A 15,931-nucleotide genomic window follows, 5' to 3' on the forward strand; every position below is an offset into this window, starting at 1 on the left:
ATGTTAGTTACTGAACATTGTTCACAGATAACCTTGTACACACAAGAAATGGATATATTTCATGTGAGTTACTGAACATTGTTCACAGATAACCTTGTACACTCCACTCATTCACTCGCTCAGTGTTTACTGACGGCTCAGAGTGTGCCCAGCACTCTGCTGGACTCTAGTGCTGCGGGGGAAGGACGGGGCCCTGTCCTCAGGAGAGCTCTGGTGCCTCCAGTCTAGAGGGGAAAACAGACAGCAGTGCGGTCGACAAACAAATACATATGTAATCTCAGCTGAGTAAGTGCCATGTAGGTAAAGAATGGGATCTCAGGAAAGTGCCAGGCACGGAGAGAGGGCGAATTCCATCCACTGGGGAGCTCTGGGGGGCCCTGTCTGTGGAGGCCCTGTCATGTGAAAGCCGCAGGAATACTTGTTACGTTGTGTCACGTGAATGGTTACCCTGGGTGAGGCGGTGGGGGAGAGGAAGGATGCTAGTTACATGCTGGCAATGTCCCACCCGCGAAAAGCCCCTGCACCGTACGCTTAGGCACGACGCACCCACTCTTTCTAAGTGTGTGGGTATTTCAGTAAAATGTTTAAGAAGTCAGCCAGGTGGGCAGAGGCCACAGGGGCGTTCCTGCAGGCTGAGGGGAAGAGTGAGATTTCCTTCTAAGTGAAACTGGAAGACTGCAGGGTTTTGAGCTGGGAAGTGATTTCGCATCATTTATATTTTCAAAGCATCACCTTGGCCTTTCCAGCATGTTAGAAAGCACGTCCCACAGTCGGCACGTTAGAAAGCATGCCCCACAGGCCGGGCGCGGTGGCTCACGCCTGTAATCCCAGCACTTTGGGAGGCCAAGGCGCGTGGATCATGAGGTCAGGAGATCGAGACCATCCAGGCTAACACGGTGAAACCCCGTCTCTACTAAAAATACAAAAAATTAGCCGGGTGTGGCGGTGGGTGCCTGTAGTCCCAGCTACTCGGGAGGCTGAGGCAGGAGAATGGTGTGGACCCGGGAGGTGGAGCTTGCAGTGAGCCGAGAACATGCCACTGCACTCCAGCCTGGGCGACAGAGCAAGACTCCATCTCAAAGAAACAACAACAAAAAAGAAAGCATATACCCCACAGTCACCCCACAGTTGCGCTGGAGCAGACCTCATGCTTTGTGGTGTGTCTTTTAGGGACTAACCTTAATCCTCTGAGTTTCAAAGCGAAGCTCTTGGCTCAATTCAACCAATGCCCAGTGAATGCCTACACCCTGCCCAGCAGTGGGTTGGGGGAGGAGCATCACAAGTGAGTGGCACATCCCCAGGGCACTCCACGTGGGGGCAGCGAGTCAGATGCGAACGGCTGAATGCATCCTGGGGCCAAGACAGGCAGCAGGGAAGGCACAGATCTAGTGCATGGGAGCTGCACAGAATCTGAGTGGCAAGGCAGGCTGGAAGGTGGGCAGAGCTCCAGGAGAACTTAGTGGGCACGGAAATCTAAACACAGACTCCAAAAGCCAGCAAAGGGGCAGGAGCCTGCACAGTGTGTTTAGGAAACTGAGGGTGAGGGACGGATGGCTGGAGTCAGGGTGGGAGTATTCCAAGCTGAGGAAGCTCACTTCATTTTGATGTATCCAGTGGGAGCCTAATAAATGCTTATGGAATGAGCAAGTGGCTGCTTGAACACAGGATAAAAAGAGCAGGGGGAGCGGACTAGCTGATGGGGCCAGGGCTGACACTATTAATGATGACAGAGAGCACTGGAGGCTCCTCGGTGAGCTCACTCCCTGCCCTGCCCCTTACCTGCTGGGTCCCGGGTTCAGATCTGAGCTCAACTCTTTTACATTCTTTAACATCTCTATGTCAATACATTCCCAACTCCCAAAGTACTGTCTTCAGGGCACTGACCCAGCTCCTGACCTCCAGAGCTTGTATTTCCAACTGTCTCTTAGACACCCCTAAGGGCTCTCCAAGGCACCACGAACTCGAACTTGCATCCTGCCCTGCCCCCTATGCCAGCTCTGCCTCTGGAGTTCCTGTCTTAAAGGTGCCACGACAAACCCAACCTCTCAGGCTAGAAAACTCAGAACATCCTCAGTTCTATACTCTCTGTAGCCACCCATCATGCAACTAGTCACCCCCCTTATAAGAGCCACAGTGCCCCTCCACTCCAGCTCTGCTGGTGGCTGCTGCCTGGGGCCAGGCTGAGCTGCTCTCCTGCGGCGTCTCCCACAACTTCACTCTTCTCCACCCTTAAGCTTGGCTCCCCACTACGCTGGCACAGAAGTTACTTTCTAGGGAGAAAATAACACAAAGCCAAGAAAATAAGTCAAAATTGGGGAAAGGAAAGAACTGTTATCAGAGGAAGGTAAGTCCTTTTCAGGGATCAGGCCCCCAGAGACCTTAAATGAGGCAGCAGCCACGCCCTGCTCTCCCTTGAGCTGTGTTCTTCTCTGGAAACTGCCTGCTGCCGCCACAGGTAGCTGAGAACTAACCTGATAAGCTGCCGCAGACCATACCTGCACCAATGCTCAGCCCATTGCTAATCAATGGCATTTCCATCAACCAAAGAGGATTCCTGACCAACAACCTGACATTAGCCTGTGCCCGGTCCCTCTTTTCGGCCTTAAAAACCTGCCTGTAACAAACGTAAAATGGAGCCCAGGCCCAGTGTTCCTCGGGGCTGAGTTTTCTGGGCAGCTGCCTTTATCCTGGCTCAGGTAGACTACTCACTTAATTACTTATTTATTTTTGAGACAGTGTCTCACTCTGTTGCCCAGGCTGGAGTGTAGTTGTACAACCACAGCTCACTACAACCTCAACCTCCCTAGGCTCAGGTAATTGTCCCACCTAAGCCTCCCAAGTAGCTGGGACCATAGGTTTGCCACCATGCCTGGCTAATATTTTTGTATTTTTTTGCAGAGACGAGGTCTCACTATGTTGCCCAGGCTGGTCTGGAACTCCTGGGCTAAAGCAATCCTCCCACCTGGGCCTCCCAAAGTGCTGGGATTACCGTCATGAGCCACCATGCCCAGCCAAGTAGACTGTTTAAATCACATTTTGTGCTTCAGTCTCTTTTTGGTCAACAAAATGTACCCTGTCACTCCTAGCTTCAACCCCAACTGCCCTCAGGGTGACCAGCCCTCCTGCCTCCCTTCCCACCTCCCACCACCAACTGGTCCCATATCCCACCCCCTTCCATGGCACTTGACCTTTGCATGGGAGGCCCCTCCCTCAGGTTCTCCATGGGGCAGATGTGACTCCCTGAAACATACGCAGGGCTGGGGCCCCAAAGTTCTGGCCTAGGAAGCTGTCCTTTTAAGGACTGGAAGCTCCTAAGTGTCTGTAGTCACTGCGTCCCTGACACAAACACTAACAGCAGCCATGCATCTGCATCCTGAGGAGGGATAGTGACCTGGAAGGACATGCTGGGTGTCCAAGAAGGGTCATGAGGGATCACTAACCCACCCTTACTCACGCCAGAGCCACCTTACTAGTTACAACTGACATGTATTCCTTTTGTAACTTAATAAATTAGTGGCCAGGCATGGTGGCTCACACCTCTAATCCCAACACTTTGGGAGGCTGAGGCAGGAGGGTCACTTCAGCTTGGTTCAAGACCAGCCTGGGCAACATAGTGAGACCCCATGTCTACAAAAATATAATAATAATAATAACAAAATTAGCCAGGCATGGTGATTGGCACCTGTGGTCCCAGCTACTTGGGAGGCTGAGGCAGGAGGATGAATTGACCCCAGGAGTTTGAGGCTGCAGTGAGCTATGATGGCACCACTGCACTCTAGCCTGGGCGACAGGATGAGATCTTATCTGTAAAAAAATAAATAAAAATGAAAATAAAAAAGTAGCCAGGCATGGTGGTGCATACCTATGGTCCCACGCTCAGGAGGCTGAGGTGGGAGGATCGCTTGAGCCCAGGAGGTCAAGACTGCAGTGAGCTATGATTGCCACTGCAGTGCAGCCTGGGCAACAAAGTGAGACCCTGTTTCTGAAAATAAAATAAAATAAAAAATTAACAGAGGAATAAAAGGACCCAACTCCATGGCAACTGTTGTTAGGTATCTTCCCAAGCTCTACAAGTAGGACTTCTCAGTGGGCCCACTGTTATTTCCCATCATGCCACTAGTGTTCTCCCAGCAGGCCATTCACCCTTTCCCATCATGCCACTGGCCTCTCCCAGCAGGCCATTCACCCTTTCCCATCACACCACTGACCCTCTCCTAGCAGGCCATTCACTCTTTCCCATCATGCCACTGGCCCTCTCCCAGAAGCCCATTCACCCTTTCCCATCATGCCACTGGCCCTCTCCCTGCAGGCCACTGGTGCCTGCACAGCCCCACCTCTGGAGGTCTTTTCTTGGCAAACACAGGTCTTGAACAACACAGGTCTGATTTTCAAGGGCCCACTTACATGAACTTCTTTTTTCAATAAAGATATTTAAAGGCCAGGCGCAGTGGCTCACACCTGTAATCCCAGCACTTTGGGAGACTGAGGCGGGTGGATCACCTGAGGTCAGAAGTTTGAGACCAGTCTGACCAATATGGTGAAACCCCATCTCTACTAAAAATACAAAAACTAGCCAGGTGTGGTGGCACATGCCTGTAATCCCAGCTACTCGGGAGGCTGAGAAAGGAGAACTGCTTGAACCTGGGAGGTGGAGGTTGCAGTGAGCCGAGATCATGCCACTGCACTCTAGACTGGGCAACAGAGTGAGACTCTGTCTTTAAAAAAAAAAAAAAAAAAAGTATGGCCGGGTGCAGTGGCTCATGATTGTAATCCTAGCACTTTGGGAGGCCGAGGCGGGCAGATCATGAGGTCAAGAGATCGAGACCATCCTGGCTAACACGGTGAAACCCTGTCTCTACTAAAAATACAAAAAAAATAGCTGGGCGTGGTGGTGGGCGCCTGTAGTCCCAGCTACTCGGGAGGCTGAAGCAAGAGAATGGCGTGAACCCAGGAGGCGGAGCTTGCAGTGAGCCGAGATCGCACCACTCCACTCCAGCCTGGGTGACAGAGGGAAACTTCGTCTCAAAAAAAAAAAAAACAAATTTTGACTTTTTTTTGGAGATTTGTAACAATTTGAAAAAACTCAGACAAACTATGTAGCCTAGAAAGAACAAAAAAATTAACAGGTATGTCGCGTATGCATAAAATATAGGTAGATACTAGTCTTTTATCAGCCACGTCCATAAAGTATACACAAATGTGCACATGCTTCCAGAGATGGCACTATGTGCAGCTGAGCGAAGTGTAAACCAACAGAAAGATGCGATCTGCAATCATAACTGCAGACAGGGAGCTGTGGCCCACATCGTGCTCCTGTCGGCATTTCACAGCTGCCTCCTGTTGCCACTGTGCTCAGTTTCACTCAAGTGTTTCGAAGATCCCCTTAAAATGTTGTGCAGTGCTAATCACCTCCGAGTGGGCAGCTCCTCTCTCCAGCAAAATGCACATCACATTAAAAAGTGACCTCTCACGGTTCTAGAGGATTTTTCATGCATTTCGTGCAATACTGTAAAAGGTGAATAACCCCAGGGGGACCCATGTGACATGCCACTAGTGATGCTGGAAGTGCTCCCGAGAAGCAAGGGAAAGCCGTGACATTACAAGAAAACGTGGAATTGCTTGATATGGACAGTAGATTCAGGTCTGCAGATGTGGACGCCACCTGTGGATGCCACCATTTCAGAAAGATGATTCATCCTATAGACTTAGGGTATCGATAAACACAGTACAGTACTATGAATGTATTTCTCTTCCTCATGATTTCTTAGTAGCATTTTCTTTCCTCTAGCTTACTTTACTGTAAGAATGCACTATGTAATACATAGAACATATGAAATATGTGTTAATCGACTGTTCATGTTGTTGGTGAGGCTTCCAGTCAATGGTAGGCTGCGAGTACTGCAATTCTGGCAGAGTCAACAGTTATATGGGGATTTTCAACTGCTCAGGTGGTTGGCGCCCCTACCCCTGCATTGTTCAAGGGTCGTCTAAGCAGCTGCCCCTCATCTGTCCTTAAGAACACAGCCTGGCCGGGCCGGCACTTTGGGAGGCTGAGGCAGGTGGATCACCTGAGGTCAGGAGTTCGAGACTAGGCTGGCCAACATGGTGAAATCCCGTCTCTACCAAAAATACAAAAAATTAGCCGGGCGTGGTGGCGGGCACCTGTAATCCCAGCTACTAGGGAGGCTGAGGCAGGAGAATTGCTCGAGTCCCAGAGGCGGAGGTTGCAGTGAGCTGAGATTGTGCCACTGCACTCCAGCCTGGGTAAAAAAAGCAGAACCCCAACTTAAAAAAAAAAGCCTTGCTGTACCTCCCTTTATGTCCACAACAGATGCCCACATGCAATGGGAGGAGTCAGAGAGGCATAGGTAAAAAGACGGAGGGGTGGGCAGGGATGGCAGCAACAAGTGTGCTTGCTCTGGGCTTGGGATGCCCAGAAGGCTCTCAACTACTCCCTTCCAGCTTTACTGCCTCCCCTCGCACCCAACAGGCTGCAGGAAAACATGTGGTCGCGGCAGCTCCCTCTGCCCGTACTTCTCTCCCAGCTGGCACTGCAGCCATGCGGCTCCTCCCCATGTCTTCCCTCCACCTGATTCAGACAGAAGTCCTACACAGAGGGGCCCACCCGCTTCCGTCTTCTCCTTGGCACTTATCGCTGACTTGTCTCCCGTCTGGATGCCAACGAGAATTGACAATCCATGATGGGAGCACACAAGCACCATGTAAGGTACAAGGACAGGAATGTGGCCGCCCCAGGCAATCAGACGCTGGGTCCCAAGAAGGAACTTGGAGATGGATAAAAATCACAACGATAGCTAAAATCAGGCTCGTGACAAAAGCTCTCAACCTGGTCACAGAACCTTGCTGCACACAGTGGGCTGAATGGTGCCCCTCCCAAAGATATGTCCACTCAGACCTGTAGTCCCAGATGCTTGCAGGGCTAAGGCAGGACAATCACTGGAGCCAGGAGTTCAAGTCCAGCCTGGGTGACATAGTGAGATCCTGTCCCTTAAAAAAAAAAAAAAAAGACATGGCCGGGCGTGGTGGCTCACGCCTGTAATCCCAGCACTTTGGGAGGCAAAGGTGGGTGGATCACGAGGTCAGGAGTTCAAGACCAGCCTAGCCAATGTGGTGAAACCCCGTCTCTACTAAAAAGAAATACAAACATTAGCTGGGCTCCGTTGCCCAGGCTGGAGGACAGTGGTGCAATCATAGCTTACCGAAGCCTTGACTGCCCAGGCTCAAGCCACCCTCCTGCCTCAGTCTCCTGAGTAGCTGGCACTATAGGCGTGCGCCACCACACTCAGCCAATTTTTTTTTGTTCTTTAACAGATGGGTCTCAATATGCGGCCCAGGCTGGTTTCAAACCGCTGGGTTCAAGTGGTCCTCCCACCTCGCCCTCCCCAAAGTGCTCAGATTACAGATGTGAGTTACAGCGCTCGGCCTTTATATAACTTTTGACTTCCCCAAAACGTTAACTAGTAACAGCCTATTGTTGACAACAAGACTTACCAATAACGTAAGCAGTTGATTGACACATATGTATATGTTGTATGTATCATATACTGTTTTTCTCACAATAAAGTCACCCAGAAAAGGAAAATGTTATTAAGAAAATCGTAAGGAAGGGAAAATATGTTTACTATTTGTGAGGTGGAAGTGGGTCATTATCGAGCTCTTCATCCTCATCATCTTCACACTGAACAGGCAGAGGAGGTTGCTGATCTTGGTGTCTCGGGGTGGCAGAACCAGAAGAAATGTGCATCTAAGTGGCCCCTGCAGTTCAGACCTTGTGGTTCAAGGTCAAGTGCACAAGCCAAGGAACAGCAAAGCCTGCCAGCGCCACCTCATGCTGGAAGAGGCAAGGTGGAAGAGCTGGAGGCTCACCCTCAGAGCCTCCAGAAGGCACCAGCCTGGACAGCACCTGGATTGCAGACTTCTGGCTTCCAGAACTGTGAGAGAAAAAATGTCTGTGTCGGAAGCCCCTCGGTTTGTGGTAATTTGTTAGGGCAGCCACAGGAAATCAACACACTGTGTCTGCCCCCAGGTTCCAGCCAGTGTGTGTGGGATGCAGACGGGGCAGTGGATGCCTGACTTTACTCAGAAGGGAACCTCCTGGCCAGGCGTGGTGGCTCACGCCTGTAATCCCAGCACTTTGGGAGGCCAAGGTAGGCAGATCACGAGGTCAGGAGTTCGAGATCAGCCTGGCCAACATGGTGAAACCCTGTTTCTACCAAAAATACAAAATTAGTTGGGTGTGGTGGCGCACACCTGTAGTCCTAGCTACTCAGGAGGCTGAGGCAGGAGAATCGCTTGTACCTGGGAGGCGGAGATTGCAGCGAGCTGAGATCACGCCACTGTACTCCAGCCTGGGCGACAAAGCAAGACTCCATCTCAAAAAAAAAAAAAAAAAGAGAACCTCTTAGAGGTCGCCCTGGCCCTCCCACAAGACACATGCGGGAGACAGCCTGGCTAAGGACATTATGTCCTGAACTGGAGCCACCCAGCCAGCCGTCAGGGTGCACGTTAAGCCCAGCAAGGATTTATTTTCTTTTCATAGCCCCGTGTATTCAAAGTCCTGCAAAGTCATCCTTTTCACTGCAAAAGGTCCTTGCCTTGTCTCCCGATTTCTGAAGTGACAGCCACAGATTAAACAGCTGTCCTAGGATTCATTTTCACCATCAAGCACCTGACGCGGGAAATCCCATCTAGCGAGGTGATATGGTTTGGTTCTGTGTCCCCACCCAAATCTCACGATGAATTGTAATCTCCAATGTTGGAGGTGGGGCCTGGGGGGAGGCGACTGGATCATGGGGGTGGTTTCTCACAGTTTCCTAGTGTGTTCTGTGATAGAGATCTGACGAAATCTGGCTGTTTAGAGTGTGGCCCCTCCCGCTTCGCTCTCTCTTCCTCCTGCTCCGGCTATGTAGGATGTGCCTGCTTCCCATTCGCCTCCCACCAGGATTGTAAGTTTCCTGAGGCCTCCGCAGTCATGCTTCCTGTAAAGCCTGCAGTAATGTGAGTCAACAAAGCCTCTTTTCTTTATAAATTACCCGGTCTCAGGTAGTTCTTTACACAGTGTGAGAAAGGACTAATAACCTTAGGTGAAATCAATAAACAGGCTTTGTCTCAATTGAGAGGCAGGATTTCAAACTCTGCTCTGGTTTTCTTGCAGTGGAGCAGCAACTTACCTGCCAGGTTCGAACTTGAACTCGGTTTGACTCCACCGTGTAAACGTTTTCTTCATGCATTGCTAACACAGGCGTCTCACACAAGAAGGTCCCTAAAATGAAAGACGAACATCAGGATGGCGGCCGCTCATCCGCCAGACTTGCTGGGAGTTTCAGGAGCATTCCCACACACGATCCCTAATTAATCTCAGCCTCACCACAGCTTCATAGGGGTGCACTATCTGCACCTCGCAGATGAAGAAAATGAGGCTCTGAGGCACAGGGAACTGTCGTGGCCACGGCTAGCAGTGGCAGTGCGTGCGGGTCCTGGGCTGATGTGGAGACTCCATGCTGGGCTCTGGGCTCCCTGCCCTTCACCCCTCCCATCTGGCAGCTGGTGCTCCCAGCAGCACAGCATCTATGACAACACACCCAGTTAAGCAAATGTTTGCTCATTTTAGGTGGAACTCTGGTGGCCACAAGCCCTGGTCCCTGGACCTAACTATTAGGGTTGGTGCAAAAGCAGTTTTTGCCATCAACCACAATTACTTTTGCAGCAACATAATAGATAAGAATCTAGAGGCGGGCCTGGTGGCTCACACCTGTAATCCCAGCATTTAGGGAGGCTGAAGCAGGTGGATCACATGAGGTCAGGAGTTTGAAACCAGCCTGGCCAACATCGTGGAATGTTGTCTCTACTAAAAATACAAAAATTGGCCAGGTGTTGTGGTGCATGCCTGTAATCCCACCTACTTGGGAGGCTGAGGCATGAGAATCGCTTGAGCCCAGGAGATGGAGGCTGCAGTGAGCCGCCATCACACCACTGCACTCCAGCCTGGGTGACACAGCAAGACTGTCTCAGAAAGAATCTAGTTAGGGAGATGATAATATACACAAAACAAAAAATATCCCAGCACCTGCTGTGTTGGTTCTACTGGGGGAAATAAGAAGTTCACCCTTGCTCCTAGGGAGTCTACAGAGGAGAGGGGAGGGGAGGAGCGGGGGAGGGGAGGGGAGCGGGGGGTGGGGAGGGGAGGGGAGCGGAGGGGAGGGGAGGGGAGTGGAGGGGATGGGAGTGGAGGGGAGGGGAGGAGAGGGGATGTGAAGTGTCGGTACAATCCTGGACAGAGTGTGAAAAATGTTATGAGAGAACTTTAAGCAACAAAGTGTTAGCAGAGAAAAAAAAATGTGGGAAAGATCTGAGGGAGAGGCGGAAACTAGTGATGGATGTGCCTGAAGAGGTGGGGGCGTTCAAACACACGAGGGGGCAACCGCCCTGGGAAGAGCATGACACGCGGCCTCCTGTGTGGGCAGGCGGCTGAGGGGCAGGGTTGGTGAAGGTGATAACTGTGGAATGGGGGGAGCTGAGCTGCACATCCTGGTGGCGGGGCCACTGCAATGGGCTGGGAAAGGTTCCCTAAAGATGCCAGGTCCTGCTCCCTGGCATGTGTGAATATTACTTTATATGGCAGAAGATGGTAAGGTCTTGGGATGGGGAGATTATACTGAGTTATCCAGGTAGGCCCTAAATACACTCACGAGTGTCCCTGTAAGAGGGAGGGAGGCAGATTTCAGACCAGGGGCAATGTGACCAGAGAGACAGAGACTGGAGGTTTGTGACCACAAGCCAAAGACTGCTGGCAGCCACCAGAAGCTGAAACGGGTTCTCCCCTGGGGCTGCAGAGGAAGCGTGGCCCTGCTGACGCGATCACTTCTGTCCAGTGAAAAGTGAAACTGATTTGGGACCTCTGGCCTCCAGAACTATGGGAGAATACATTTCCCACATCTTTGTCTGAAGCCACCAAGTTTGTGGTCCTTTGCTACAGCTGCCTCAGGAAACTCCCATAGATGTGCTGAAGAGAGCAGGAAGAAAACAATGGCCAAGGCCGGGCGCGGAGGCGCACGCCTGTAATCACACCACTTTGGGAGGCCGAGGCAGGCAAATCACCTGAGGTCAGGAGTTCGAGACCAGCCTGGCCAACATGTTGAAACCCCGTCTCTACTAAAATATAAAAATTAGCCGGGTGTGGTGGCACGCACCTGTAATCCCAGCTACTGGGGAGACTGAGGCAGGACAACTGCTTGAGCCCGGGAGGCGGAGGGTGCAGTGAGGTGAGATTGCACCACTGCACTCCAGCCTGGGCAACAATGGCAAAACTAACCGCAGAGAGCTGGAGAGATCTTGGGGACCTAGAAGGGTGTTTGAGATTAACGGAGCATGTCTGAGGAGCCACCTTGAAGTTTCAGACAGAGGCTGGCCTTGGGTCAAGACACCACAGGTCTCACTGCTGTGCATGGTCTGGAAACATTTCAGAAGATGGGAGGCAGCCACCTCCTCCCTGGAAGGAACCCCACAAAAGCACGGTGGTTGTTTACGCCCACACAGCAGGCCCCAGGATGCACTGGCAGCACGGGGCCACAGCTGCAGCCCTGGCTCTGGAAGCGCAGGCAGTAGCACAAGGGTCTCCCCAGCCCCTGTGCCAGCCCTCAACTGCACCACAGTGGCCCTCTCATTAGGCAGGGAGGAAATAAAGCCAGGTAGTGGGAGTGCCTCTGTCCGGGTGAAAAGAACCCACCTGCACTCCGTATCGCGGCTCCAGAAAGCTCGAAGATCGCCACCTGCCTTCCGTTCCAGACTGCGACAGCATCCTGAAAAGAACCACGGACATTCGAGGCAAAGGGCGGGAAAAGTGAGGTGCAACTGTACACCCCACTGCACACCTCGAAAGCCTCCTCTAAACACTTCTGAACACTGCTGCTCCATCATCCTACGACTATGAGATCACTGGGTCCTCTGTGGACAGGCTGAGGCTGTTTTCCGTGTTATATAAGATATCCATGGGTTTTATTATGATTCTTTTCTGTTTTTTTTTTTCTTTTTTTTTTAGGTTTGGGGAATGGCAAAGAAAGTATCCCTCTCTTTCCTTTATTTACTTTTTAAATTTATTGTTTAACTGACATTTTTTTTAATTTATAAGGGTACATGGCAGGTGTATATATTTTTTATTATTATGTTCTTTTTTTTGAGACATGGTCTCACTCTGTCGTCCAGGCTGGAGTGCAGTGGCACGATCTCAGCTCACAGCAACCTCCACCTCCTGGGTTCAAGCGATTCTCCTGCCTCAGCCTCCCAGGTAGCTGGGATTACAGGCATACACCCCGACGCCTGGCTAATTTTTGTATTTTGGAGTTTTAGCATCTTGGCCAGGCTGGTCTCGAACTCCTGACCTCAAGTGATCTGCCCACCTCAGCCTCCCAAAGCGCTGGGATTACAGGCGTCAGCCACCGTGCCTGGCCTATATTCTTATTACGATTTTCTTTATGAATATAATGTACATGGATATCCAGGAAATAAGAGAATCTAGGATGGAACTGAGAGTGGCCTAACCTGCCATCTGGGGCCCTTGCTGCCCTGAACTACCTGGCCATGGGGCAGTTCTTCTGTCTGTGTCCCACCCACGGGTCCCCTCGGCAGTCACCTTGGTGGCAAACACTCCACTGATGTGCATGTCGGTGCGCAGGCTGTGTGCGACCCCCGTGGACAGGAAGCACACATTCAGCAGACTCGGGGAGACCTGCATGGCGGCCACTTGCTGGTGGAAGTGTGACGACATGGCCCGCTCGCTGAGGATGGCCACGGAGATGACGCTGTTCACTGCCAGCAGGTTCTTCCTGGAACCCCACTTCATTTCCAGGTTGCAAGAGAAAGAACCAGATGTGTGAACAGAGCAGGAGAAAGATGCGGTCAGGAGAATACTTACACACACGAGAACTCAGAAACCATTTCCAAGTACCATTGTTCCGGACTTAAAAAATGATCTTATAAGACATTATAAGAAAAGTCTTATAAAGGTAAAGAGTATGCTGTGTAGAAAGACTTCAAGATACTGATGCTCAAGGGTTGTGATTGGACAGGCAGCACTGGTATGTCTGTTCTGATGGGAAGAGCGTTTTCTAGAGTTTTTCTGAGTGGGACACACTTTTCTGAGTGTGACATAGGGATGTTTATGTTTTTTATAAACAGACAGGAAGTTTACATAATGGATTAAATTATCCAGCTTTCTTCTGCTGATGTGAAATGTTGGTTTCATAATTTTATATTAAACTTCTAAATCTATCTAAAAATAAATAAAGACCTATGCAAAATAGGAAAGTATAAATTCCATATAGGAAAAAACCCAGACATCAGAAACTGCTCTGAAAGGGCTCAGATGTTGGACTTAGCAAAGACTTCAAAGCAGCCACTGGAAACGTGGTGAAGGAGCTGAAGGAAACCAGCCTGGTGAAGTGAAGGAAGCTACAACGACAGTGTCTCATCAGGTAGAGAACAGGAACAGAGAGAAATCATAAGAAAGAACCAAATGCTGCAGAGAAATTAAAACATCCTCACACAAAAACGTGTACACAAGTGTTCGTAACAGCATTATTCAAATGTCCATCAACTGATGAATGGAGAAAGAAAACGTGGTCTGTTCACAGCAGAGAATGTGATTCAGCCATGAAAAGGAGCAAAGCATTGACACAGGCTACAATCTGGAGGGGCCTTGAAACCTCAGCTCAGTGGGAGCAGCCGGGCACAAAAGACCAGGTGTTGTGTGATTCCATTTCCATGAAACATCCAGAATGGGCAAATCCTTAGAGAGAGGAGGTAGATTAGTGGCTGCCAAGGGCTGGAGAGGGGAAAATAAGAGCGACCACTAAAAGGTACAGATTTTTTGTGGCGCTGAAACTGTTCTAGAATTCACTGCAGTGATGTTTGTAAAATTGTGAATATACCAAAAACCACTTTGTATATATCATGAGTTATATCTCAGTAAAGCTCTTTTTCATACAGATAGAGAGAGATGGAGAGGGAGGGATGGGTTCGTGGGTAGATACATATTATAACTAATACAGGTCCACAATCTCTTATCTGCAATTCTGAAATCCAAAAGGTCTTTTAAAATGTCTTATTATTGTTATTTTCACATAGTCTTAAGTTGAATAACTGATAAAAATAGGTTCAGAGTCATTTATGGCCTCCACTTTCTTTTTTTTTTTTTTTTTTTTTTGAGACGGAGTCTCACTCTGTCTCCCAGGCTGGAGTGCAGTGGCACAATCTCGGCTCACTGCAAGCTCCAGCTCCTGGGTTCACGACATTCTCCTGCCGCAGCCTCCTGAGTAGCTGAGGCTACAGGCGCCCGCCACCACGCCCGGCTAATTTTTTGTATTTTTTAGTAGAGACAGGGTTTCACCGTGTTAGCCAGGATGGTCTCGATCTCCTGACCTCATGATCCACCCGCCTTGGCCTCCCAAAGTGCTGGGATTACAGGCGTGAGCCACCGCGCCCGGCCATGGTCTCCACTTTCATGCAGCAGAAAATGAGTGCACCGAACACCCTTGGAGGCTGTACCTGGATTTGCGTGATGTTTCCTTGGAGCTCGGTAGGGGTCTGAAGGGCCCACCTGTCCTTGCCCTCTGCCCCGGGGCTGCCCAGGAAGTCTGGTACTTTCCTCCACATGGCTACTCGCCCTCTGTCGGTACCAGCGGCCAGAAGACCTACAGGTAGAAACAAACTGCATGTGAACAGAGTTAAAAAAAGGGAACAAAACAGCAACAAGCTCTGTTCTCTAACCCCCTTCTTCAAAGCATCAGCCCTCGCCCAGTCTGGTGCCTCTCCACCTCATCCCTGGCTGCATCTTTCTGCCCAGGTCCTTGCTGCCCTGACCTCACAGTGCCAGTGCGGGGGTGGTGGGGGATGCTGCTCTCCCAGCTTTCCTAGAGGCCAGTTGGCCTGGCTCGGGGCTGCCCCATGCTCAGCACTCAGCAGGCACTAGAGACGCGGCTCTGGCTCACCTCCTAGTCTCCTGTGCTCTGGATGTGCATATGCACACATACACACACATGCATGCACACACACACACACACACACACTTCCTGCACTGTCCTTCCCGTGGCATTTCAGGAGGGAACAGAGATCAATGAGCAGGAATCGGTTTGCTTCTTGTTAGATGGGGTCACGCTCTGTCACACAGACTGGAGTGCACTGGCACCATCTTAGGTCACTGCAGCCTCAACCTCCCAGGCTCAAGCAATCCTCCCACCTCAGCCTCCTGAGTAGATGGGACCACCGCTGTACACCATCACACCTGGCTAATTTTTGTATTTTTTGTGGAGACGGGGTCTCACTATGTAGCTCAGGCTGGTCTTGAACTCCTGGGCTCAAGTGATCCTCCCTCCTCAGCCTCCCCAAGTACTGGGATGCAGGTTGTCATGCTTCTAACCAAACCCCCTGGCCTTCATGTGGGATCACAAAGCTCTGCCGTTGCTTGCTTGCCCTTGCCCGACTATTTGAATGGCTGTGAGTTACCAAGTTACCATTGTGTGAGTAGCCTCCACGTTTCACTACCATTATTTTGCAGCCGGCGCACAATGCTTGTGGTTGGTTCTGTTTCTCTTGTGCCAGGCCAGGAAGCCTCACCTTTGACTTTACAGTAACACACACAGTTCATATTCTCTCCTTTCTCAAAGCCAAACTTCTCATCTGGACTCAGTATATAATTCTCTCCTCGTTCTATGTCCCAGAATCTACAACAGAAGAAAGCAAGCCCCATGGAGGGCCTGTGTTAGTGGCGTTTCCCTCTGAGGGGTTTTTGAACCTGTGGAGCAAACATTAAAAGTCAGGAAAAAGACATAGTTCATCAGACTCCTGATATGAAAACGAACACTGCTGTTACATTTGGGACATTTTATGTCCTGTTTCTAATGAAAGAAAGCCGTTG

At 50.5% G+C, this 15,931-nt stretch overlaps 1 protein-coding gene and 1 long non-coding RNA gene across 25 annotated transcripts in view; one reads left to right on the forward strand and one right to left on the reverse strand.

Moving 5' to 3' along the window:
* IFT140 (intraflagellar transport 140) overlaps positions 1-15,931 on the reverse strand; it is a 101,646-nt gene that overhangs the window by 61,141 nt on the left and 24,574 nt on the right. For 23 of the 24 annotated variants that reach the window (XM_047434970.1, NM_014714.4, XM_006720990.4 and 20 more), the window contains 5 exons: positions 15,631-15,737; positions 14,563-14,708; positions 12,650-12,853; positions 11,747-11,819; positions 9,192-9,283 (listed from right to left, as the gene is read on the reverse strand). In XM_047434970.1, the coding sequence (XP_047290926.1) occupies positions 9,192-9,283; positions 11,747-11,819; positions 12,650-12,853; positions 14,563-14,708; positions 15,631-15,737 (622 nt within the window). The other variant, XM_011522767.2, reaches the window with a different exon arrangement.
* Positions 8,960-15,931, forward strand: part of LOC105371046 (uncharacterized) — a 29,802-nt gene continuing 22,830 nt past the window's right edge. The window contains exon 1 of the long non-coding RNA NR_135176.1: positions 8,960-9,018. This is a non-coding gene — a long non-coding RNA (uncharacterized LOC105371046). The remainder of the gene's footprint in view (positions 9,019-15,931) is intronic.

This window comes from Homo sapiens, chromosome 16 (assembly GCF_000001405.40).
Source record: "Homo sapiens chromosome 16, GRCh38.p14 Primary Assembly".
NCBI lineage: Eukaryota > Metazoa > Chordata > Mammalia > Primates > Hominidae > Homo > Homo sapiens.